This window comes from Homo sapiens, chromosome 18, assembly GCF_000001405.40.
Source record: "Homo sapiens chromosome 18, GRCh38.p14 Primary Assembly".
In the NCBI taxonomy this organism is placed as follows: Eukaryota; Metazoa; Chordata; class Mammalia; order Primates; family Hominidae; genus Homo; species Homo sapiens.
The window spans coordinates 75,617,157-75,639,800 of record NC_000018.10 but is presented as its reverse complement, the minus strand read 5'-3'; the positions used below and the strand labels follow the sequence as shown (position 1 = coordinate 75,639,800).

Here is a 22,644-nt window from a genome sequence, read left to right as displayed (position 1 = left end):
TCACCATCAACCCAAGTAGTTAAGGTGGTAAATTCATGGGTTGTGGATTGCGAGTTGTAGAAATTTTTCCCCTCATAAAATACAGCATACAAGGGTTATAAACACACAATACAGATTATCAGACTATAAAAAGGCATAACAATGCGATATGATTCATTGCTGGCATGGGCGCAATATTGTGCTGGAAGATTAAAGACTATGTGACTTAAATAACTTTTATTGCAATGCTTTCAACAGATCTCCTAACCGGGAAAGCAAACGGGCTCTGCCCAGTGATATGACTGGTGAGTAGGACCCAACACAATTCCCAGGACCCCCATTCGTCTCTCCAGTCTAGCTGAGATGGTTCCACTTTGGTGAGTGTTTCGCAACCAGGCAGCTTCTAGGTTTCGTGATAATATACCAGTCTCCTAGGATGTGCTATCGTTGGGCTAAATATAGCACGTGTCCTCAAAATAGTGCCATTGATGGTGAGTAATAGCCCCGTTCCTCCTCCCGGTCTCTTGCACAGGCTCTCTTGGATTTGGTCCAGGAATTAATTTGTGCTAATCTGGTCCCAAAATAAATAACTTTTGTCTCTCTACGTTGCCCTGGGTTTCACAGGGAGCAAGATGCAGCCCCGACAACAGGCGCTCAGTGCAGGACTGAGGAGAGGCCCACTCGGTGCATCTACAATTCAAAGGAGCGATGAGGGCTGAGGTCATCAATCTGTCCCAGTGCTCTCATCCGGGCTGGGCGAGAGCCGGCGCTTCCAGCACTGTCTCTCCCAAAGAAGATTTGAAGCAGTGACAAGTGGAGAGTCCTGCCGTCCTTCCTCCCTGGGCCTCGCGCAGAGGTGGCTGGCAGAGTGCACCATTAGGATAGAGATGCCCCGTGTCTGTGCCGCCATGGCCTGTCTGTCCCGCGCTTCTGAACTGGCTGAGCTGCTGTGCGGGGCAAGGCTGAGTTCCTGAGATTTGCTGGCAGCCTCCCGCTCTTTGTTCTCCAGAATGTGAAAATGGTGTAAATAGCAGCATCTGCAACTGCTCCTGCTGCGCTGACCGCCAGCCAAATGCTTTTTTTTTTCTTTCCCTCACTCTCCCTGTCGAGCCGTCCACATGATGCACACAGGCATGAGCTGCAGAGCGGGGTGCAGCCTGGAAACCCCAGGAATGCTGGGGAGACACAGGGCAAGGGGGCCCAGGGAGGGCAGTGGGTTTCGCCGCTCCTGGTGAAATGACGAGCTCCATGCACGGCATGGGTGTTGACGGGGTGTGTAGATGACATGTACGAAATGCATTTTTGCCACCTCCAACAGCTGAAAAAGAGCCCATGCCTCATTCCTCAACAGCTGCTGTCACCTCAGCTAAGTTGCATGCTTTGGAATTTCTTAAAAGAGAATTACTCTTACTCATCGGTCCTCTGACTACTGAAACGAGCCCTGGAAAGTGAGTAACTCGAGGAATTCTGCTCCTGTCGGCAGCCAGGGGATTTCATATTTTGTCCAGATCTTTCTGTGCAGCCAGATACAAAGTGTTCGTTTTTCTTGGATATTATAACTTCCTTTCTCTGTATCCTGTCTCTGTTCATTGATTTTTTAAAAAAGGCCGTGATTTTCTCTATGTCAAAAGAATCTGCACCTTTTTCTTATCTGAGTGGCAGATGTTCCTGGGCTGTGAAATATAAATATCCTAAAGTTTTCAAAGGCCTGATAGAAATTAATGCCATCTTGATTTTGGAAATAAGTGTCAGGGCTAGTACTATTGCTTATATTATTATAACTTCCACATTATCATCCTGAGTCTTGCTCCAGGACAGCCTTAGCATAAAAATATAGAATTCTCAACTATATTTATGTCTTTTAAAAATATGTATCTTTCTAACACATATCAAGCCAAGGATATAAAATACTTGTCTCTGAGGAGTAGCCTGTAGTTGTACTTAAAAAATACACATCCATAACCCTTGGGTGCATTAGAAAATTCTGCACGTTGATGGAGCATGTGTGCACAAAATGGCTCTCCTGTTCTATAGTCATTAAAGGCTGAAACTGACATAGATCTGAAATGTTCTAGGACTAAAGCAATCAGGGTATATTTCCAAACTAATAGTAAATGATAGTCTTCACAATTCAAGAAAGCAAATACAGGCTGTTTTGTTAAATTCCTTTTGTTTTTTAAATCTACATAATTTACTACAGCTTTGCCATCCCAAGCAAATGTAGGTTTGAATTTTCATGGCCTAGACTTCATACGGGTGGAAATTAGAAATGATCTAAAGTGATTTTTTTTTTTTTTTGGTTAGTTATCAAGCAGTTAGGAAAACGCTGGGGACAATAAAGTTAAGGGAAAAAATCGTAAGAGAAATAAGGCCAGGAAAGTTCCTGATGCACGTAGCCTGAGGCCTCACAGCAAGGTCTCGAAGGCGCGACAGCTGGTCTCTGACCCTTCCCTGTCGATTCCTGCTGCACGAGGAAACCCCGCAGCAAGCCGTCCACGCACCCATGGATCACAACTGCATCATCAGACCCGTGAGCCACAGCTCGGCTCCTGACGCAGGGGCCCTCGCAGTGCCCTCTGAGGAGGGGCTTCTGCCCCAGGCTGACCATGAGGATCGCATTGAGCAACATACCACTTCCCTCTCAGGTTTTTCTTGCTCCCGTGCACAATGTTCATGGACATCCCCCTGGGGAGTGAGTCCTGAGCAGGGGAATTCTTCCACTGCCTGGAACTTCGCATCTGCTCAGAACGCCGTCCATGCTGCATGTCTGCGTGTCGTGAGACACGGCCCCGGGACTCGCCAGCCTCAGCCCGCAGAGCCCACCGTGCACTGTGTGCTGCTCACTCCTCTTCTGGGATACTGGGAGTAGAACTAGAGTCCTAGATTTCAGAGACCCCAATCATCAATGACATCATTCAAAAACACTTACTGCTACTTAGCTTGAAACATTTTTCCAAGCTTGGTTTATAAAATTTAATTGAGAAAGAAAGAGAAAGAGGAGGAGAACTTCACAAATCAGCTTGTGTGGGAACTTACATGTTCCTGGTGTGGTTCTCCACAGGAGACAATGCCTCTACCCTCTCAATGGTGATATGCCCATGGGCATTTCTGGTGAATTCTTCAGCAAATCAGATCACCATGTGCCAAACCAGTGAATTCTCACCCAGTCAAAACTAAAGACAGAGAAGCCTGTTAGTCTAAGTTTATGTGGATACAGAAGGCTCTGCCTGTAGAAATGACTTGTTTTAGAAGGAAAATATGCACCCTAGAACAGGTGGGATGGTGGCGGGAGCATGTGAAGGCAGTGAGTGAAGGAAGCATGTGAGGTGACAAATGCCAATCCACAGGGATACTACATGCTGTTCATGAGAAGAAGAAATGAAAGGGGATAAAGACTTTGGAGAAATCTGAGAAATCTTGCCCAACTTTAGGCCACATCTCAAGACACTTCTTCCTTGGAGCCCTTCCAGACATTGTCCGTTCCCTAGGCATCCCATCCAGACCTGGACTCTGAAGTCCTTGTGGTCCCACTGCACTTGTTCATACACTGCTCACATGTGTACTTCATGCCCTTCCACAGGGGCAGCCCCTTAGGCAGGGACTCTACCTTCCCACCTCTGTCATCCCAGGGGACCCTCACTCAGCACTTACCCTGTGGAGGCTACTCAGTAATGTTGGCTGAAGTGAACAACAATTTAGAATAATGTAAAGAAGTTTTATATTATAAAATATAGAAATCCTCAAATAGAGACACTAATAAACATTGCAAAAGGGAGTTCTGAAATATCATCACTCATTGTGGATCATATTTCTAGGTATTAGCATGTGCCTCCAGCCCACTCACTAAATTCTTGCACCTGTACCCCAAAGACCTCTTCCCTCCTCCTCGGTTCCAGGAATACAGAACAGAAAAAGAAAGAAAATGCAATGGTTGGCATGTGTTCCCTCCATAATTCAGGTGTTGAAATTAAATGGCCTCTCTGATGGTATTAGGAGGTGGGGCTTTTAAGAGGTGATCAGGCCACCTGAGCGTCTTGCCTCGTGAATGACATTAAGGCCCTTAAAAAAGAGGCTGCAGGCAGTGTTTGGCTCACTTTCTCTTCTTCATTCCTCGCCTGCAGAAGAGGGGCAACAAGGGCAACAAGGCGACATCTTGGAAGCACAGATCATCCCCATCAGACAGCTGAACCTAGTGGTTCCTTGATCTTTGGACGTCCTAGCCTCCAGAGCTGTGAGAAAATAAATTTCTATTTGTTAAAAATTATTCAGTCTCAGGTATTTTGCTATAACAGCACAAATGGACTAAGACACACTGAGAGACTGGCAGCACTGCATGACTGAGAGGATCAGATGCAGCCTAGCAAAGAGAGGCTCCTCTGCCCCCAGAAGCTGGAGAGCAGCGCCAGCTGGTGAGAGAGACCATGTGGTCCCTAGGGAAGAATGAAGGCCTGGGAGAGCTCCAGAGGAAAGGAGTTTCCACCAGGAGTACCTGGGGGCTGGAAAGAAGCCAAGTCATTGCCCAACAGACAAGGCTATGCTGCCGTCCAAAAACAGCCACCAGTCACTCGCATCATCAGCCATGCGCTCACAGAGAGTCAGGTTTGAGGACACTCATCAGGGCTCTGGGCCTGTCTAGCACAGCCTTCCAGTGTCCACTCAAGGAGACAAGCTACTGTCTTGGCCCCATCAGCACCTGGACCGTGCTCAGCACAGACTCCCAGGGCACCCTCCCAAGAGGACAACATACTGTCCCAGGTCCTGGAAATTATTACGTCCCGGAAATGAAGTTAAGGGACTTGGATATTGCATTATTCCATTCTCACACTGCTATAAAGAACCTGAGACTGGGTAATTTAGTGGGGGGAAAAAGGTTTAATTGACTCACAGTCCTGCAGGCTATACAGAAAGCATGGCTGGAGAAGTCTCAGGAAACTTACATTCATGGTGGAAGGGCAAAGGGGATGCAAGCACCTTGTGCACATGGTGGCAGGAGAGAGAGAGAGAGAGAGAGAGAGAGCAAAGGGAGAAGTGCCACACACTTTTAAACCACCAGATCTCATGAGAACTCACTCACTATCATGAGAACAGCATGGAGGAAATCTGCCCCCATGAACAAATCACCGCCCATCAGGTCCCTCCCCCAACATTGGGATTACAATTCCACATGAGATTTGAGTGAGGCACAGAGCCAAACCATATTAGTTATCTTATTATCTCAAAGCTCTGTGAAGGGAAGCCTCAGCCAAACAAAGATGGGGCCAAATGGGACAACCTTATAGTTACATACCCTGACATCACTCTGTTATGATAGGACCATGGAGTGGGCTCTACAATCTGGACAGATTTATCTACATATGAAATTTCTTTGGTGTTTATTCCATGAAGTCATATGTTTTGTATGCTTATATGTATATATAATATAATGTTTGTAGGGTGGTTTTTTCCCTTAAAAATCTTTGTGTAAAATTAAATCTCCAGGAAGATGTACCATTTTTATCTTGTAGCTGGAGTACCCTCTCTTCCAACTCCTCCTTCCATAGAAACATCTGTAGGGAAAGAGAATATAAAGCCCTGGAATACAGTTCAAAAGAGGCTCAAGAGAATAACTGATGTCTGGATGGGCAGCTCAGTGGAGTGCAGGTGGGCCATGCTCCTTCAAGAGCAAGATAGTATTTCATCACATGCCTGCTCAGCTTATCCCAGACAGTTAGTCGACCACATGAACTACATCCATTGAAGCAATGTAGTTAATCTTCCAATTCAATCAAATAAGTCAATCAAACCCAACATTGTTTCAAAAGAATTTCTTAATGGAGCAACTATCTGACCAAATGTATTAGATTCTTTTAAAAAAACATGGCACTGAAGAATCTTGCTTTGGACTTGTATTTTATAGCTTTAAAAATCTCATTGACATATGACATTAGTTTGATTCTCATAATATCTTCTGCAGGTGGTCAGGGTGTGTATTGTGGACTTCCTTTTAAAGGTTAAGAAATGAGGGTAAGCGGATGAGTAACTCTCCTAAAGTTACTATGTAACAGAGCAGACCTGAGCCTCTGTCATCCAAATTCATCCTCCTTGGACATTCTTCACTCTCTATGGCTTTTACCGATTCAGAAATTCCCTCAATGTGGGGACAATCCTACGAAAGTGACTCTCTGGAAAATGTGTTGGGCATGTTCATGATTACAACAGTGGGGGTGACCCAAAGCATTACAAAGAAGTTATATGTCATGACTGTTACATATACAATGGGAGGGCCAAACTTTATCCCTTAATAACAAAGTCAAAAGAGCGTCACATCATAGAGCCAGACCCGCACCCCTGCCTACCTGCAGATGATCATGTGTAACCTTACAACATATTTTCCACACCCTTTGTGTGTAGCATATTGAACTTGCAGACATTACTCATGGCAGGACTGTGAAATTTAGCCAAAACACATGCCACGGGCCTCTAGGGCTAGGAAATACAATTACAGTGTTCTGTGTGTTTTTTAGCCACCAGTGGGATGTGCGGTCAATTGAATTGCATTTCCAAACTCTTTTCTTGATTATGTGCTTCCAAAATAAATACATGGATATTGTAATGTACTGTTCCAGAACCAAGTTTAACATAAAGAATAGACACTGGTTATCCAGACTAGACCCACTGCATGAATTAAATGTACAGCTCTTGGACATGTGTGAGCTATCCAAACCTCACCCTAAAGTATTCTATTCATTATGGATGACTTTTATTTCTAGTCCACCCATGTCCCACTTAAACCACTCACTTGGAGCAATCCGTCCTTACTGCATTCCTTTGTCTGACCTCTTCTCTGTCACTCAGTTGGCACTAAGCATATGGCACTTATACTGTTGTTTTACCCCACTTTGGCAGATGGTAAACGCATATGGCCTTCATTTAACTGGCAGCATAGATTACTTACCAGGGAGTAGTTCTTGAAACCATAGCTTCTAGACACCAAATGTGCTCAGTGCTTCACAAAACCAAGAACTATTTAAATAGCAAGACTCGTTCTTGAAAAGTAGCTTAGTGACCATGTTTTATTAAATGAGCATGTCCTTGGGGTACTCTCTCTGATCTCAAACAGCTTGCCAAACTTTTTCCATCTCCAAGAGGAGCTCTATGGAATTAAATTTCTCCATCTCATACATGCAGGAATTGCAGTGTGTCCATTTCTCCAGATGACCTAAATTTTACACCTACATTAAGAACATCTATTCTAGACCTGTGTATCTGGACAGCATTTTCTCTCCCACTCCCTGGTGATGGTTTAAATTACATATGGGGGTTGATGCTGTTGAAGAGCATTGAGATCCCTTGTAATCTAGAATCCAGGGATCACCTTGCTGCACTGACATTGGAAAAGCGCTGGGTGTACAGCACTCACTGTTTCTTTGTGAAAATGCTGGACCGACTGGGGGACTCAGGGACCTTCTTTCTACTCTTTGTGTCAGAAATGCAGTGCTTCTTTGGAGTATGTATGTTGCTTTGATTTTTAGGTGTTGTCTTTTTTTAATGGTCCAAATTTCATTCTTTCATTATCCCATAGTCAATTTGGAAATAAATGTGTGTGGGTCCTCCCTTATCTCCATAGCATGCTGTGCAGCTTATATCTGTGAAAACTTACCTTGATCTTTGTGAAATCTCCACAAAGATACCTATGTGCAAATGCTGTTTGGCTGAAATCCCTACTAAACCACCTACTGATTTGTGACCTTGAACATTTTACTTTACTGTCCCTGGTTTTATATCTGCTTTATTTGCAAAACAGAGTAAAGTAAAAGTGTACAGTAGATACTGCACAGGCTTGCTATGAAGAGTAAATAAACAAAAATAGCAAAAGTTCTAAGTATGTTGGCAGATACATGAAATGAGTCAATGAATGTTGGAGAAACTGGATTTTAGGCAAATCATATTCCCTCTTTTCCTTTTGTTTGCCTCTACTTCTCTTGGTTTCTCCATTTATGCATTTATTTCTTTTGTTTTTGCTTTCTCTTAAATCACTTATCCAAGTGGCCTTCCTGTACCTGCTATTAAGGACACAGATATTAAAACACACACACACACACACACACACACACACTCAGATCTCAAGTACTTCAAGGACAGGAAAATGTGTAATTACAATACAGTGTGAGAGTGAGTTTTGTATTCATCTGATAGCAAATACATGGGCACAAAATAGCAGTGGGAAAGAAAAGGAAATGATTACCTCTGTCTGAGGGTGGAGTCGATCAGCGAAGTTCTCATAAGGGAAATGATGCTTTTTCTGGAACTTAAGCATAAATGAAGACTCCTGGGTATGCAGAGGAAACAGCATGGGCAGAGATGTGGAGATATTGAAGAACATGGTGTCCCAGGGAAGCTGAGTGGCTCACATTGCTAGCACAAGGAGGCCAGCAGGCCAGGCACACGAGGCTGGGAGGCAGTCAGGGAGCCAGCTCTGAGGGGCTCTCTGGACATCTGAAAAAGTGAACCTCTATACTAAATATGGACCAACACCCAAAAAGGACCAACATGACCTGTTTATAAGACAAGGCTGAATTCATTATTTACTGCAGTAAAGGAAGGCACCAACTCCGCAAAGCTTTGGATGTTAGAAATAGGAAAATAAGTTCAGAATTTGTTGAGAGGTGAAAATTTGGCTTAAAGCAGGCCTTTCGCCACAGGAAATTGGTGAAGATTGGATAAGAATCCCAATACAATAGCCATGAATTTGTGGGAATCACAAGGTGAGGATTTTGAGGTAAAAGACTGAAAGCATCTCAGGACTCCAAATGATGCGGTACATTGAAGAGTTAGTGGATTTTAAGGAAGTTCCTGTTATGAGTAATCATACCATTTGTGTGGGAGGAACAGTCCTGCAAAGGTAAAGAAGGGACAATGAAGCTGTGAAAATAGCAAAGTCACAGTAATGTAAACAGAAAGGGGTGGCTTTGTCCTCAGTGTCCAGGCAGTCCCGGCAGTATGTGGGGTAGACAATTTTTGTTCTCATGACATTGACCTTTATATGCTTAAGAAATTTATTCTCATGTATATGCTACCCAATCTATTCTGAAAATATCAACATTTGGAGCAATGAAGAGGAAAAATTCAGCTTGACCTATGCTAAGTTGCATACTCAAACAGAATGGCTCTTTAAAAATTAAGTTATTTAATTTATAATTAAGTTATCTTATTTGTGTTTTTAAATGCAAAAAAAAGTAAAAAATGTTTAATTTGGGGCTGCAAACTAAATGTAAACTTTTGTACAATATGGGATTAAACAAACCACTTGCAATATTATCTGAAAGGAAAATGAAAATCTTAGTCTATCTGGGTATTCCCAAAACATACAGATGTAGCAGGAGTATAGAGAAAAATCTACATTTTTCATTTTTCACTTCTTCAGTGTTTTTATATCACATTCAGGCTTATGAAAGAAAAAAAGCATTATTACAAATCAACTAAGTCAGAGTCTGGTTACAGATAGACAAATCTGTAAAAGGGTTTATTTGTGGTAGACTTATTAATGATATATTTCCTTATATTATTTTGTTCTGCTAAGATTTGTCATACTTTACTCAACTAAGAAGTTGCCAAGCACAGTTAATTGAACACAAAGATCTCAAAACTTAGCATGGGACCCAGTTAGCTTTAGATATAAGATGTGTGGCACAGTTGCTGACATTTTAAACATTGGCTGTATTTACCCAATACCTGTATCCCCATTATATCTAGGAAGCAACTAACTTGCTTTTGATTTTACAGGCTCATAGGTGGAAGGCACTTGTCTTGTCTCAGATGAGACTTTGGACTGTGGACCTTTGAGTTAATGCTGGAATGAGTTAAAATTTGGGGGGACTGTTGGGGAGGCATGATTGGTTTTGAAATATGAGGACATGAGATTTGGGAGGGGCCGGGGGGATTGATATGGTTTGGCTCTGTCCCCACCCAAATCTTATCTTGAATTCCCACATGTGGGAGGGACCTAGTGGGAAGTAATTAAATCATGAGGGCAGGTCTTTCCCATGCTTTTCTCATGATAGTGAATAAGTCTCATGAAATCTGATGGTTTTTAAAACAGAAGTTTCCTTACACAAGCTGTTTGCCTGCTGCCATCCACGTAAGATGTGACTTGCTCCTCCTTGCTTTCTGCCATGATTGTGAGGCTTCCCCAGCCATGTGGAACTGTGAATTCTCCATTAAACTTATTTCCTTTGTAAATTGCCCAGTCTCGGGTATGTCTTTATCAGCAGCATGAAAACAGACTTTTAAAGCAAGTATCTAAGGTTTTGATCTTGTAAGAGGGCAGCAATAATTCTTCCTGGACTTTGTGTCATCCTTACATGATGAAAATAAATCTCAGCTAATCAATAATTGGATAAGAATTCATCTACTTCCTCCCTCCACGTATATTTAAGCACCCAGTCCTGTGAAAAACTTGGATTTTTTTTTCTTCCTGCACAGCTCCTACTGAAGTCCTTGAAATGATTTTCGTTGACTTTCATGATCTAACTTGGTTCATGGAGCCATCTGGAATCCAGTTACTGTGGAGAAAGAAACAGAATAAAAATACTCCTTGACTTAGAATGGGGTTATGTCCTGATAAACCCACCATAAGTTGAAAATATTATAAGTCAAAAATGAATCGAATACACCTAAACTACCAAACATCATAGCTTAGCCTAACCTACCTTAAGCATGGTCAAAACACAATAGCCCAGAATGGAGAAAATTATCTAACATAAACCCCATTTTATAATAAAGTGTTGAATACTTTAATTTATTGAAATTATTTATTTATCAAATACTGTAATTTATTGAATACTGTACTAAAAGTGAAAAACAGAATGGTCATATGGGTAATCAAATTATTTCTATTGAATGAGAATCACTTTCAGGCCATCATAAAGAGGAAAAATTGTAAGTCAAACCATTGTTAAGTCAGGGACCATCTATATACCAGATTACCTCAGTCTAGGTGACACCCCTGTCCCCAACCCAGTTTTCAGCTGTATAATACACTTTATTTCAAATAAAAGGATAAGTATTGGTTTCCAAATTTGGGTGCTGGTGCTATGGGGTAACCCAAGATGTGAAGTAAAAAGTAACAAAGGTCTGCTGCAGTTTCCCTCCTTGAAGAGGCTCTGTCAGAGGCCATGCGAAGGTGGTTTTCACATGAAATCAACTTCAGGTTGCAGAAGGCTTCCTTGACTGTGGGAATGACATTGAAAAGACTGACTTTCTTTCTGAAGCTCTATAGGGAGGGTGCTTAACTCCAAGAAGTGAGAGATAAAGCAGTAGAAATGCCTAACACATTAAGGATATTATTAGAAATTACTATGCAGAAATTGTGGATATTATCAACATGCCTGACACTCCAACAAAGGACTTGACAAAAGCTCCTGGATTTGCTATAAGGAAAAGTTCTGTGTCAGAGCCCATCCTGACACCAGGAAGCCCAACATAGCAAAAACATGCAGAAGCAAGCCCACTGGTCCTGAAGGCCTGGGTGGTGTGAATAGAGGGGGATTCTGCCTGGCTAGGCACCAAGCTCTGATCTCTGTTCATGGGATACCTGGCGATATGGTCTGCATTTGTATTCCTGCCCAAATCTCATGTTGAATTGTAATCCCCAACATTGGAGGAGGGGCCTGGTGGGAGGTGATTGGATCATGAGGGCAGATTTACTCCTTGCTGTTCTCATGATAGTAAGTGATTTCTCATGAGATCTGGTTGTTAAAGAGTTTGTAGCACCTCCCTCTTCTCCTTCCTCCTGCTCCAGACATGAGGATCTGCCTGCTTCCTCTTTACCTTCCGCCATGATTATAAGCTTCCTGAGGCCTCCCCAGCCATGCTTCCTGTACAGCGTGTGGAACTATGAGCCAATTAAACCTCTTTTCTTTATCAATTGCCCTTCTCAAGTAGTTCTTTATAGCAATATGAGAACAGAGTAATAAGTGGTTTATAGGACACAAAGATCTAAGAGTTTGTGGACATTTTAGGGTCAAAACAGCAGCCTACAGAGCTACATACCCTTTACAAGTTTGCAACACCCTTGCATTGCTCAGAAAGCTGCAGACTTTCTGCAGATGTAAAAGTGTGAGAACTCAGAGTCCCAGGGTCAGGGACAGCAAGATCGCCCCATAACTGCGTGCACACTGAGATCTCTATCATCACTACAGAGGTGCAGCTTCTGCTGCAGATTTCTCCAGGTACAGGCAGAGGCCCCAGCAGGCAGAGCAGAAGGGCCCATGAGTTGAGTTTTAGTTTTTATACTAGAATTCTCCATCTGTACTTTAGGTTCAGATTGGGAGTAGACATTTGGGGAGTTGGTAGGTGAGAGTAATGGCCCATGTTTTATCATCATTATCTTTGCCTACTTTTGTGACCAGTTACTATGTGGCGGATACTGTGCTCGTCCCCTGTATCTGTTACCAAAAATAATTGTGAAACCCACCTAGAACATAATACTATTATTCTCTCTGTTTCACAGATGAAATGTCTCTGAGGCTTAGAGACAAGAGTAACTGCTCATTGCTGTGGGGACAGAGGCAAAGCCTCTGGCCCCGGAACCTTATCCTGAGCTCTACTCTGCTTCTTTTCTGTTTCCTCTCAGAAGGTAGGGAGGTGTTTAACCTCTCACTTGCTAACTATCAGGTAAAACTGTCACTTTGGAAGAAAGTAAGAGGCAGCCCCAAGCGCCCATGGGTGGTAAGTGGCCTCGGTTGAAGTGGTGGCATCAGCATTGAGAAGAAATAGAGGAGGAGAGATGCAGAGTGTCTCAGATTGCTTTCCATGTGCTGGGTCTTACACTGAGCTCTTTCCTCTCCATCACTGCAGAAACATATCATCATCTCCAACTTAATGGATAAGGAAATCAAGGCTCAAAGAGGCAAAGTACTGGTCCCGGGGTTTGGATCCAATCCCAATCTATCTTTCTTAAAACCATCATGGTTTTTGTTTGTTTGTCTTTTGCTATATTCACAGTCCACACCCTTTGGACTGGTGGGCTGTTCGTCTTGAGCCACCGAGTTCCTTATATCTCCCTGTGGTCACTAATGTGATTTTGCAAGACAGAGCTCCAGGAATAGGCTGCCCAGCAGGAACAGCCCTTTCTAGGTCAGACACTCCCTAAAGACCTGCCCAAGGAGGGGATTCCTATCCCATGGCCATAAAGAGCTTCAGGTGCAGCCAACTTCACCACAAGGTTTGCACCTAGAGGTGAGCCTTGCTGAACCAGCAGGGCGAGATTTCATCAAACAGCTGCTCAGGTTTCAACAACAGCATGGCTGGGCATTGCACTAGTGGGCTGCCTTAGCTATGGAGGGCAGCTGGCTCTGTCTTCTAACTGCATGGCCACACCCCTGGGGACTGTTTCCCAGACTAGTGCTAGAGGTGCTGCCACGGTGGGTCAGGACTCTCAGGTACATGAGAGGTGGGCCTCTGATTAGCTTTCCCTCTAACCAGACTGTTGTATGATTACATCTGGGAGCTTGTCCACACTGCTATGCAGGCCAGCTCATTCCAAACAGAGCCAGTTAGTCCTTCCAGGAACTGGTTGCAGGAGGCAAGTTCATTTTAGCCAAAGTGTTTGGCCAGGAGGAAAATCTGGGAGTGGAGGACAGGACAGGAAACTGAGTCATGCCCGACACGCAGTAGGTGGGCACTACGACTAACCATTGCTCATTATTCAGGGTGGCCAAACCCTTGTCCAGATCCACCAAGAAGTTTTCGTAATGCTGCCAGCAAGTATGACATGGCCTTGTTAATACAGAGACAAATACCTTTCAGCCTTGTTTGTCAGAGGGTGATCAGGATAGAACCAGAGGCCCACAGAGAGTTCGAGGAAGGACAATCTTGAAATTTTCAAGGATGAAACCTAATGTTTATTGAGCATTTGTTATGTGCCAAGCATTCTTCTGAGGGTTTCATGTGTATTCATGTATTTTGTCCTAGTAGAACTGTGGAGTCAGCACTGTTATTTTTAATCCATTTACAGCTGTGGGTATGGAAGCACAGACGATAAGGTAACTCATGCAAACAAAATGTTTATAAACAGCATAGCCCAGAATGGAACCCAGGCATTTTCCTATCTCTATTGAAAAAACCAGAAACAGAAAGTTGCATAAACTGACCATTGTTATGTGGGGAAGGGTAGGGATGGCTGTGTGGTGTTGATAATTGATAAGTGAGAAATTGAGAGTGTGTTCTATCCTTGTGCAATCGGTATCTCTCTAGTCTGACATGGCTCAATTCTCTGATTAAGGTACTTAATAGCCAGTGGGGGAGACTGAGGGGAGGGGGTCACAGAACTGGGTGGTTTGGGGTGGAATCAGGGAGTTGCTGTTGTTACTCACCCCTAGTGCATTGGGGAAGGGCTTGGCACACACTAAACTCTGCGGTTGGCACTGGGCACAAGATGCCACACCAAAAAGCAGACAATGGCTGCTGGAAACAAGGAAAATCACCAGCCCCATTCATTGCTTTCCTAGGCCTGCCATACAAATTACCACATTTGTACAATTCTGGAAGCCAGAAGTCCAAAGTCATTGTATCAGCAAGGCCTTGCTCCCTCCAAAGACTCTAGCGGAGAAAACTTCCTTGCCTCTTCCAGCTTCTGGTGGCCCCAGGAGCTTGGCTTGTGGCCACATTACTCCAGTTCCTGTCTCCATCTTCGCATAGCCATCTTCTGTCTGTCTTTGTGTCTGCTTTTCTTAAAAGGACATGAGTCACTGGAGTAAGGACCTACCCTAACCCAGGATGTCCCCACCTCTGCAAAGACTGTTTTCAAATCAGATCCCATTCTGAAGTTCTAGGTGGACAGGAATTTGCGGCGAGACATGATTCAACCCAGGACACCCATGCATGTGGCAATCTCTGCCCTTTGTGAGATCAGCGCCAGATAACTCAGTAGAGAAAGGTGGTGATTTGAAGGGCAAATGTGTCCCTAGGAGGCTTCACTACTCCCTTCAAGGGATGTCCCAAAGCTGTAATCCTGGAAGACTGTGCGCCAGGAGAACCGTTACTCAAGAAGGGATGGAACTGGGATTTGGAGACTGAGGAACTCGGCTGCCAAGCGTCCTATTTTTCAGCCCCAGGAAGTTTATTCCCGAGCTCCCCAGTCACAGCTGTGGCCTCATAGGCTCTCAGCTAAGGATGTGCACAGATTTCCAGGGCCACTGCTCTGACCTCCGGCACAGAGGCTGTCTCCACCTGGGGGGTGGGAGAGGCAGGGTTGAGTGAGAAACATGCCTAAAGGGGCAAATGTACCAAATATAAAATGTCCCACAAGAATCGAGGACATAGCAACATAAATGTAATTAATGATCCATTCTAAGGATCATATTCCACGCCTAAATATACAACATTTTAACAACAATTTGTCCGTTGCACCCAAATGCCTCCATGATGGGAATTTTGACAGCGTGTTAGTTTAATTTCCACTACCCAAAGATAAAAGACCCAAGGAAAGGAAATGAAAAAAGCTAAATGGCTAGAAAAAGCATGGAAAACCATAACCACTAAGTTGTAAATCAGTAAAACAACTTGTTAGTCATGGAAACATAGAACTATGTGACTTCTATAATGTGCTCACTTCTTTCATTTAATAAATATTTTCTGGCACAAGTAACAATATTGTAATCTTTCATTAGAGAAATATGTCAATGTTCTACTGAAACTCCAAGTCCTGTAAAAAAAAATCTGTTTTAAATTCCAGTTTTGTGGAAATTATGATTTTTTTCCTATGAGTGAAAAACAATGAGCGAATTCATTTGATTTAATTTTCTTTCCATTCTAAAATGTACCTAAATGTCACAAAAATAAAGTTGGGGCCACTGTTGTCAATGAAAAGAAATGAAAACACTATGGAAATTGGCCATCATTAGAACTTTAAACTCTGTGAATCCTGTGTCCTCGTGCCTAGACCCTGGGGTCCTCTTTCTGGGATCTTCACCTTCCTTTCCCATCCTCATTCCTGGGTGCCCATCTACTCTGCCATGCTTGGAAATTCCTCTTTCCAAGCACTCCTGCCTTCATTCTCATCCTTCCTTCTCTCTGGACTCCTATTTCCCCACCATTCCCCATCCATCCCTGTCCATTCCTGGAGCCCTCCAGCAACCACCTTTTCTGGTCACCTGTCCCATCTTCGAGGTGGAATCTTCCACGCCCTTCTCTGAAGATTCACAGCCGCTGCTCCTACCACTCTGAATTCGCACCCCCTCCCATGCCTGCCTTTCCTGAGAGTGTAAACTTAGCAAAGCTCATCTTTTTCGTGTCTGCTCCCGCTGCAAAGCACAGGGCAGGTGCCCGATCAATGCTTGCTGGGTGGCTACTGAGTGCCCCGCTACAGCTCAGACTACACCCAAAACATTCTTGCACATCTCCAGTCAAACCAATGTCCGCACAGCCTTTCCCCTGCCTGCCTTCACACTCTCTGCCTCCTCCCGTGAACATTCTCACCTTAGCAAAGCCCTGCCTTGTCTTCAAAGCCCAGTTTTCAGATGTCATGCTGCTTCCGAAGAGACATCTCCCTCCTCACTCTATGATTTTTGCTAGGGCTGCCATAACACAGTACACAAGCCAGGACCTTAAACAACAGAAGTGCAATGTCTCACAGCTCTGGAGGCCAGAATCCTGAGATCAAGGTGCTGCAGGGTTTCTTCCTTCGAGGCTCTGAGGCAGCGATCTGCCCCCAGCCTCACTCCCTAGCTTGTGCGTGGCCACCTTCTCCCTGTGTCTCCTCAAATCCTCTTCCCTCTGTGCATGTTTGTGTTCAAATCTCTTCTTCTTTTTTTTTTTTTTTTTTTCTGAGACAGAGTCTCGCTCTGTCGCCCATGCTGGGGTGCAGTGGCGCAATCTCTGTTCACAGTAAGCTCTGCCTCCCGGGTTCATGCCATTCTCCTGCCTCAGCCTCCCAAGTAGCTGGGACTACAGGCCCCCGCCACCACGCCTGGCTAATTTTTTTGTATTTTTAGTAGAAACGGGGTTTCATCATGTTAGCCAGGATGGTCTCGATTTCCTGACCTCATGATCTGCCCGCCTCGGCCTCCCAAAGTCAAATCTCTTCTTAAAAGGACATCAGTCACATGGGATTAGGACCCACCCTAATGACCTCATTTTAACTTAACTGACTTCTCTAAAGACGCTGTCTCCAAATAGAGTCACATTCAGAGATCCTGGGAGTCAGGACTTCAGCCTATGGATTTAGGGAAGGGACATGATTCAACCTCTAACAGCTGCCTCATGCCTCTTTCACCATGGAGACCTACAGTCCCCATATCTGGGTCCATCTGTTAGAAGTATCTAAACACCTTGGTAAGACCCTTTGTCCCTGCCTCAGAGGGAGCCACATCCTGGGTTTAGTGAGTATCCCACCCCCAGACTTTCTTCCAGGCTTCTCACTTCTCCTTTTGGTTTCAGAATTGGATCCAAAGTTCCTCTACGTGATATCCAGAATGTTTGTCCTGGCAAGCTCCAGCCTTTACATTTATGAAATATTGTTACCTCAAAAGCAAGGCTACCTGGACCTGGTTTCTGGCCATTTCCCATGAACAGAAGGCCAAAGTCCTGCAGTAAAAAATGCCCAGTGGGTTGAGACTTTCTGGGGAGAGGTCCAAAAGGCAACTATTTAGGAATTCTTTTCATATATTTTTTCTTAACTGAGTAGGATCGTACAGAATCGACTCACTAAAAAAGAATTGTCATAAAATCTCACACCATTGACTTGTAAATGGAATCGAATGTGTAGCGTCTACGTAATGACACCATCAAACAGGAAAGAGCTATCACACTTGCAGAACGGATGAGATGCGGAATGAGCGCGGCAGGCGAGCCTCCCAGGGGCATTGGCGTTATTCCACTCACCGCGTTTTTATCTCCAGTTTCTCTAATTTTTGTTATTTTTTTCCTCAGGTCTCAAGACAAGAGCAGACAGAGTTTTTTTCTCTCCTAAAAAATCACCTCATACAGAAGTCAATAATATAAATACTTACGTGCCTGGGGTCAGTGCCTGGGCTTTATTAAAACTGATTTTTCAGAATGTATTTCCGTTGTTACTGCAGCTACAGGAAAACCCTCCAATCAGACACTTTGCATCCTAACGTCAACGCCTGCGTGGCACAGGCCCTAAAGATGGAAAAAGTAGTGAGGGAGGCGGAGGGGAGACACTGTGGGCTTCCCGGGATGAGTCCCGCAGGGCCGGTTTCCTCAGGGGCAGCAAATCCCAGGGGAATTCTCCCTCACTTCCTTTCTAGAAGATTCCCCCAAGCTCCCACACGCACCTCCACGGCTCCTAGATCAAGCTCTGACTCTGCTCGGCCTCATGGTTGGTGGCTACGTAAAATAATCAAAGATGCCCTTAGTGGGAGTCATGCACCCCTACCTTGGCTGAAGGTCAGGCCACATACTGGAGTCTCAGCACACAGGCAGGACGCTGTGGGTTCGGCTGCCAGGAGCCTCTGTTCAGAGAGTGGACATGGTACAGGGCTCATCCCACATCATGGTGTCCTGCCCTGACAGTCACCCGCAGTCTTCTCAGGGCCAGACCCTGGTTTTCTGCAGAAAAAATCAGAGAGGCCACTGGCTGCTTTCTGGGCTAGGCGACCTGGGCCCGTGTCGATCTTAGCCCACTCTCTGCATGCTTCTCCTACCCCTCCTCTTAAATTATTGGGGTTCCTATGATGTGCAAGCTGGGGGACCTGGTTAAGCGATGTGCTCTGGACTTGTTAAATATGACCAGCTTAGGGAAGGACTGAGCCGGTGCTCACTCTGATGGCGTGTGGTCAGCACTCGAATTGCGCAGAACAGCAGCCTCTGCGAACTAACGAAGATCCATAGAGGAAGTCAGCTCTTCCCCATGGAAACCAGTGCCTGGTGTGTTTCCAACGCTCACGTCACCGGCAAATAGAAAGGAGAGGCACCAGTGTGTGCGGGAAGGGCCTTGAAAACAAACTCCAAAGAAACGCAGGCCAGCAGCAAGAATCTCCATCCACATGGATAGCGTAAAACCAGGGAGGGACGCAAGGAAGGAAAGCGTGTAAGGAACAGCAAAGAAGGAAGGCTCAGCCACAAATACACACACACACACACACACACACCGCAAGGGATAACACAGTACCCCCAGGTATAACCCGCAGACACACTGAGATCAGTCCCTCCTTCCTACCTTCTTATTCCTAATCATTCTGGTCAGCCTTTCATTCAGCTTAGCTGGCCCCTTCATTATATTCATGCTTTAAACCTTTCTTTATGTGTCAGGGTTTAGGGATATTTCGTTTTCTTTTGTAATTTTCCAACAAGTTGTGGGGAGGGGCGGTGGGAAAGCATACATACCTTAAAAAGAACTTGCAAAATGAATATTTCTCTTTGTACCCACAATAATCTTTTATTTCTTTTTTTTTTTTTTTTTTTTTTTTTTTTTTTTTGAGACGGAGTCTCGCTCTGTCGCCCAGGCTGGAGTGTGGTGGCGCGATCTCGGCTCACTGCAAGCTCCGCCTCCCGGGTTCACGCCATTCTCCTGCCTCAGCCTCCCGAGTAGCTGGGACTACAGGCGCCCGCCACCACGCCTGGGTAATTTTTTGTATTTTTAGTAGAGACGGGGTTTCACCGTGTTAGCCAGGATGGTCTCGATCTCCTGATCTCGTGATCCACCCGTCTCGGCCTCCCAAAGTGCTGGGATTACAGGCGTGAGCCACCGCTCCCAGCCTATTTTATTTCTATCATAAAGGCAACACGTGTTTTTTTGTGCAAAATTTGGAAAATACAGAAAAATATAAAGAAGGTGGAAACCATCCACAGTTCTTCCTCCAAGAAATAACCATAGTTGTATTCTAGAAAATGTATTTGTATGTTTAGTATAGTTGATCCAAAAGAAAAATCGAGGTAAATATGAATACAATTTTATTGTATGAAGGTGGTATCACACTGTATATACTACTGTATGTTGTTTTTATTTAATGTTATGTTGTGAGAATTCTAATACAGTATGAAGTAGTCTTTGAAAGCATAATTTTTAATAGCTACACAACATTTTTAATGAGTATATCACAGTTTCTTTTCCCATTTCTCTATTCTTGGGTATTCAGAAGGTTCTTAATTTTCTCTCATAAACTTGCTCCAATGACTCCCTGTGTACATCGATTTCTGAGCACATTTCTGATCATTTCTTTAGGATACTTTCTTAGGCATAAAATTCTTGATCTAAAGAGAGTAAACCTTCCTACGGCTGTTTCCTCCCTCCCACCTGTATGAAAACATCCATTTCACATAATTGCCAAAAATGGAAACAACCCAGTTGTCCACTCAAGTAGAATAAATAAACAAGATGCAGTCTATCTACGGAATGGAGCATCATTCAGCAATCTAAAGGAATGAAGTTTTCACACACGTTACAACACGGATGAACCCTTAAGATCGTATGCTAAGTACAAGAAGCCAAACACAAAGGCCACATGTTGCCTGATTCCATTTATGCAAATCGTTTTGAATAGGGACATCTACAAAGATAGAAAGTAGATGAGTAGTTGCCAGGGCTGGGGTGGTATCAGACAGTGACTGAATATGGGGATGACACTTTTACTTGCTGTGATGGAGACATTCTAAAGCTAGATCATGGTGATGGTTGCACAATTTTGTAAATTTACTAAAAATCATTGTATTGCACGCTTAAAATGAGAGAGTTTTATGGCACGTAAATTAGACCTCAATAAAACCTTCAAAAGGCATTTTCACTATTTATTTTTTCAGATTATTTTAGGATCATTCATTGAATTTTCCAAAATCACTATTCCACTAAAATTTGAGGAAGACTTATATTTACACTAATAATTTAGTATCAAGAAAAATAATATGCATTCTTATTTCTTAAACTGTCTTTATGTTACTAGAGTCACATTCTTCATTTTTATTAGCTAAGTCTTTTCTTCAGGTGAGACCACTCACTTTCTTTTGATTAATGTAATTTTTGCCATAAATATTTCCAGCCTATTATTACAATGTAGAGAAAAATATTTTTATATTTATTTAACTTTCTATCACTTTGCTTAATTTAACTTTTTTAGATTCATTTGGTATTACAAGTATACAGTTGTAGAAATGTCAAAGAATTATTAGGTCTCTTTCTAATAATAATTCTTCCTTCCCCTACACTGGCCAGACTTCCAGCATTAATTAGAAGGATGATGTTGATAACAAATAAAATTGCCTTATTCCTGATTCTAATGAGATTTTTTGCAGCATGTCACCACTAAGTATAATGTTGACTTTTGTTTCTTTTTAACCTTTTTATTTTGAAAAACTATACATTTGCAGGAAGTTGCAAAAATAGTACAGAAAGATCCTATGAATCCTCTGCCCAGTTCCCCCTGTTGGCTACATCTTATGTAGCTACCCTACAATATCAAAGCCAGGAAACTGGTACAGACATGGTGTGCAAATAGTTTTGTGTCATTGGTGGTATGTGTAGATTTCTGTAACCACCACCGCAGACAAGATTCGTAACTGCTCCATCATCACAAAGACATCCTTTGTGCTTCCCCTTTAAAGTCAAGCCATCCAGCCCCCACCAACTCTCAACCCTGAAAATTACTGATCTCATCTCCACCTCTTTAATTTGATCATTTCGAGAATGCTCTATAAATCTTATAGTATGTGACCTTCTGAGATTGGCTTGTTTTACTCGCCCTAATTCCTTTGCCATCCATGCAAGTTGTTGCACATGTCAGTAGTTTATTTTTCCTTATTGTTGTATTATTCTCTGGTATGGACGTACCATAGTTTGTTTAATCATGCACCTATTGTCGGAAATTTTAGTGTTTTTAGCTCTTGCAAACAAAGTTGCTATAAACAACCATTGCAGATTTTTGTGTAGACATAAGATATCTTTTCTCTGAGATAACCGCCCAGGAGTACGATTGCTAGGAAATATAATAAGCATACGTTTAGTTTCTTAAGAAACTGTCGAACTCCTTTCCAGAGTGGCTGTACCACTTGACATTGCACAGCAATATGTGAGAAATCTAGTTTCTTTGCATCCTTGACCGCATTTGGTGTTGCCATTCTGTTTTATTTCACTTGTTGTAATACGTATGTAGTGATTTCTATTGTGGCCTTAATTTGCATTTCTTTAATAGCTAATGATGCCGGAAATCTTTTCAAGTGCTTTTTTGCCCCATGTACACTCTATTTAGTAAATGTCTCTTCATGTCTTTTGCACGTTTTCTAATTGGATTGTTTGATTTTTACTGTTGGGTTCTGAGAGCCCTTTACATATTCTAGATGTGAGTCCTTTCTCAGACATGTGATTTGCAAATATTTTTTCCCTGTCTGTAGCTTGTCTTTTGATCCTCCTAACAGTGTCTTTTGCAGAGCAAACCTTTCTGATCTTGATGAAGTCCAATTTACAGATTTTTTCCCTTTATGGATTGTGCTTTTGGTGTCTTGTTTAAGAATTCTGCATCAAGTCTTAATCTTGAAGATTTTGAATTGTGTCTTTCTAAAAATTTTAGTTTTATTTTTACATTTAAATCTTTGCTCTATTTTGAGTTAATTTTTGCATAAAGTGTGAGGCTCAGGCTGAAGTTTACTTTTTGCCTATGGAAATCCAATTGTTCCAGTAACATTTGTCCAAAATGATTCCTCCACTGAACTGCTTTTACATCTTAGTCAAAA

General features: G+C 43.2%; 3 annotated features.

Annotated features, from left to right (window-relative positions):
* Positions 500 to 1,075: an enhancer, noted in NCBI's record as "H3K27ac-H3K4me1 hESC enhancer chr18:73350681-73351256 (GRCh37/hg19 assembly coordinates)". NCBI's record gives its function as "activates a minimal SCP1, AML or CMV promoter by ChIP-STARR-seq in naive H9 embryonic stem cells {active_cell/tissue: H9 hESC(naive)}" and the evidence as "EXISTENCE:reporter gene assay evidence [ECO:0000049][PMID:30033119]".
* Positions 1,076 to 1,653: an enhancer, noted in NCBI's record as "H3K27ac-H3K4me1 hESC enhancer chr18:73350103-73350680 (GRCh37/hg19 assembly coordinates)". NCBI's record gives its function as "activates a minimal SCP1, AML or CMV promoter by ChIP-STARR-seq in naive H9 embryonic stem cells {active_cell/tissue: H9 hESC(naive)}" and the evidence as "EXISTENCE:reporter gene assay evidence [ECO:0000049][PMID:30033119]".
* Positions 13,260 to 14,459: an enhancer, noted in NCBI's record as "BRD4-independent group 4 enhancer chr18:73337297-73338496 (GRCh37/hg19 assembly coordinates)". NCBI's record gives its function as "activates an origin of replication core promoter dependent on BRD2, P300/CBP, MED14 and CDK7 cofactors, and independent of BRD4, by STARR-seq in HCT116 cells {active_cell/tissue: HCT116}" and the evidence as "EXISTENCE:reporter gene assay evidence [ECO:0000049][PMID:35650434]".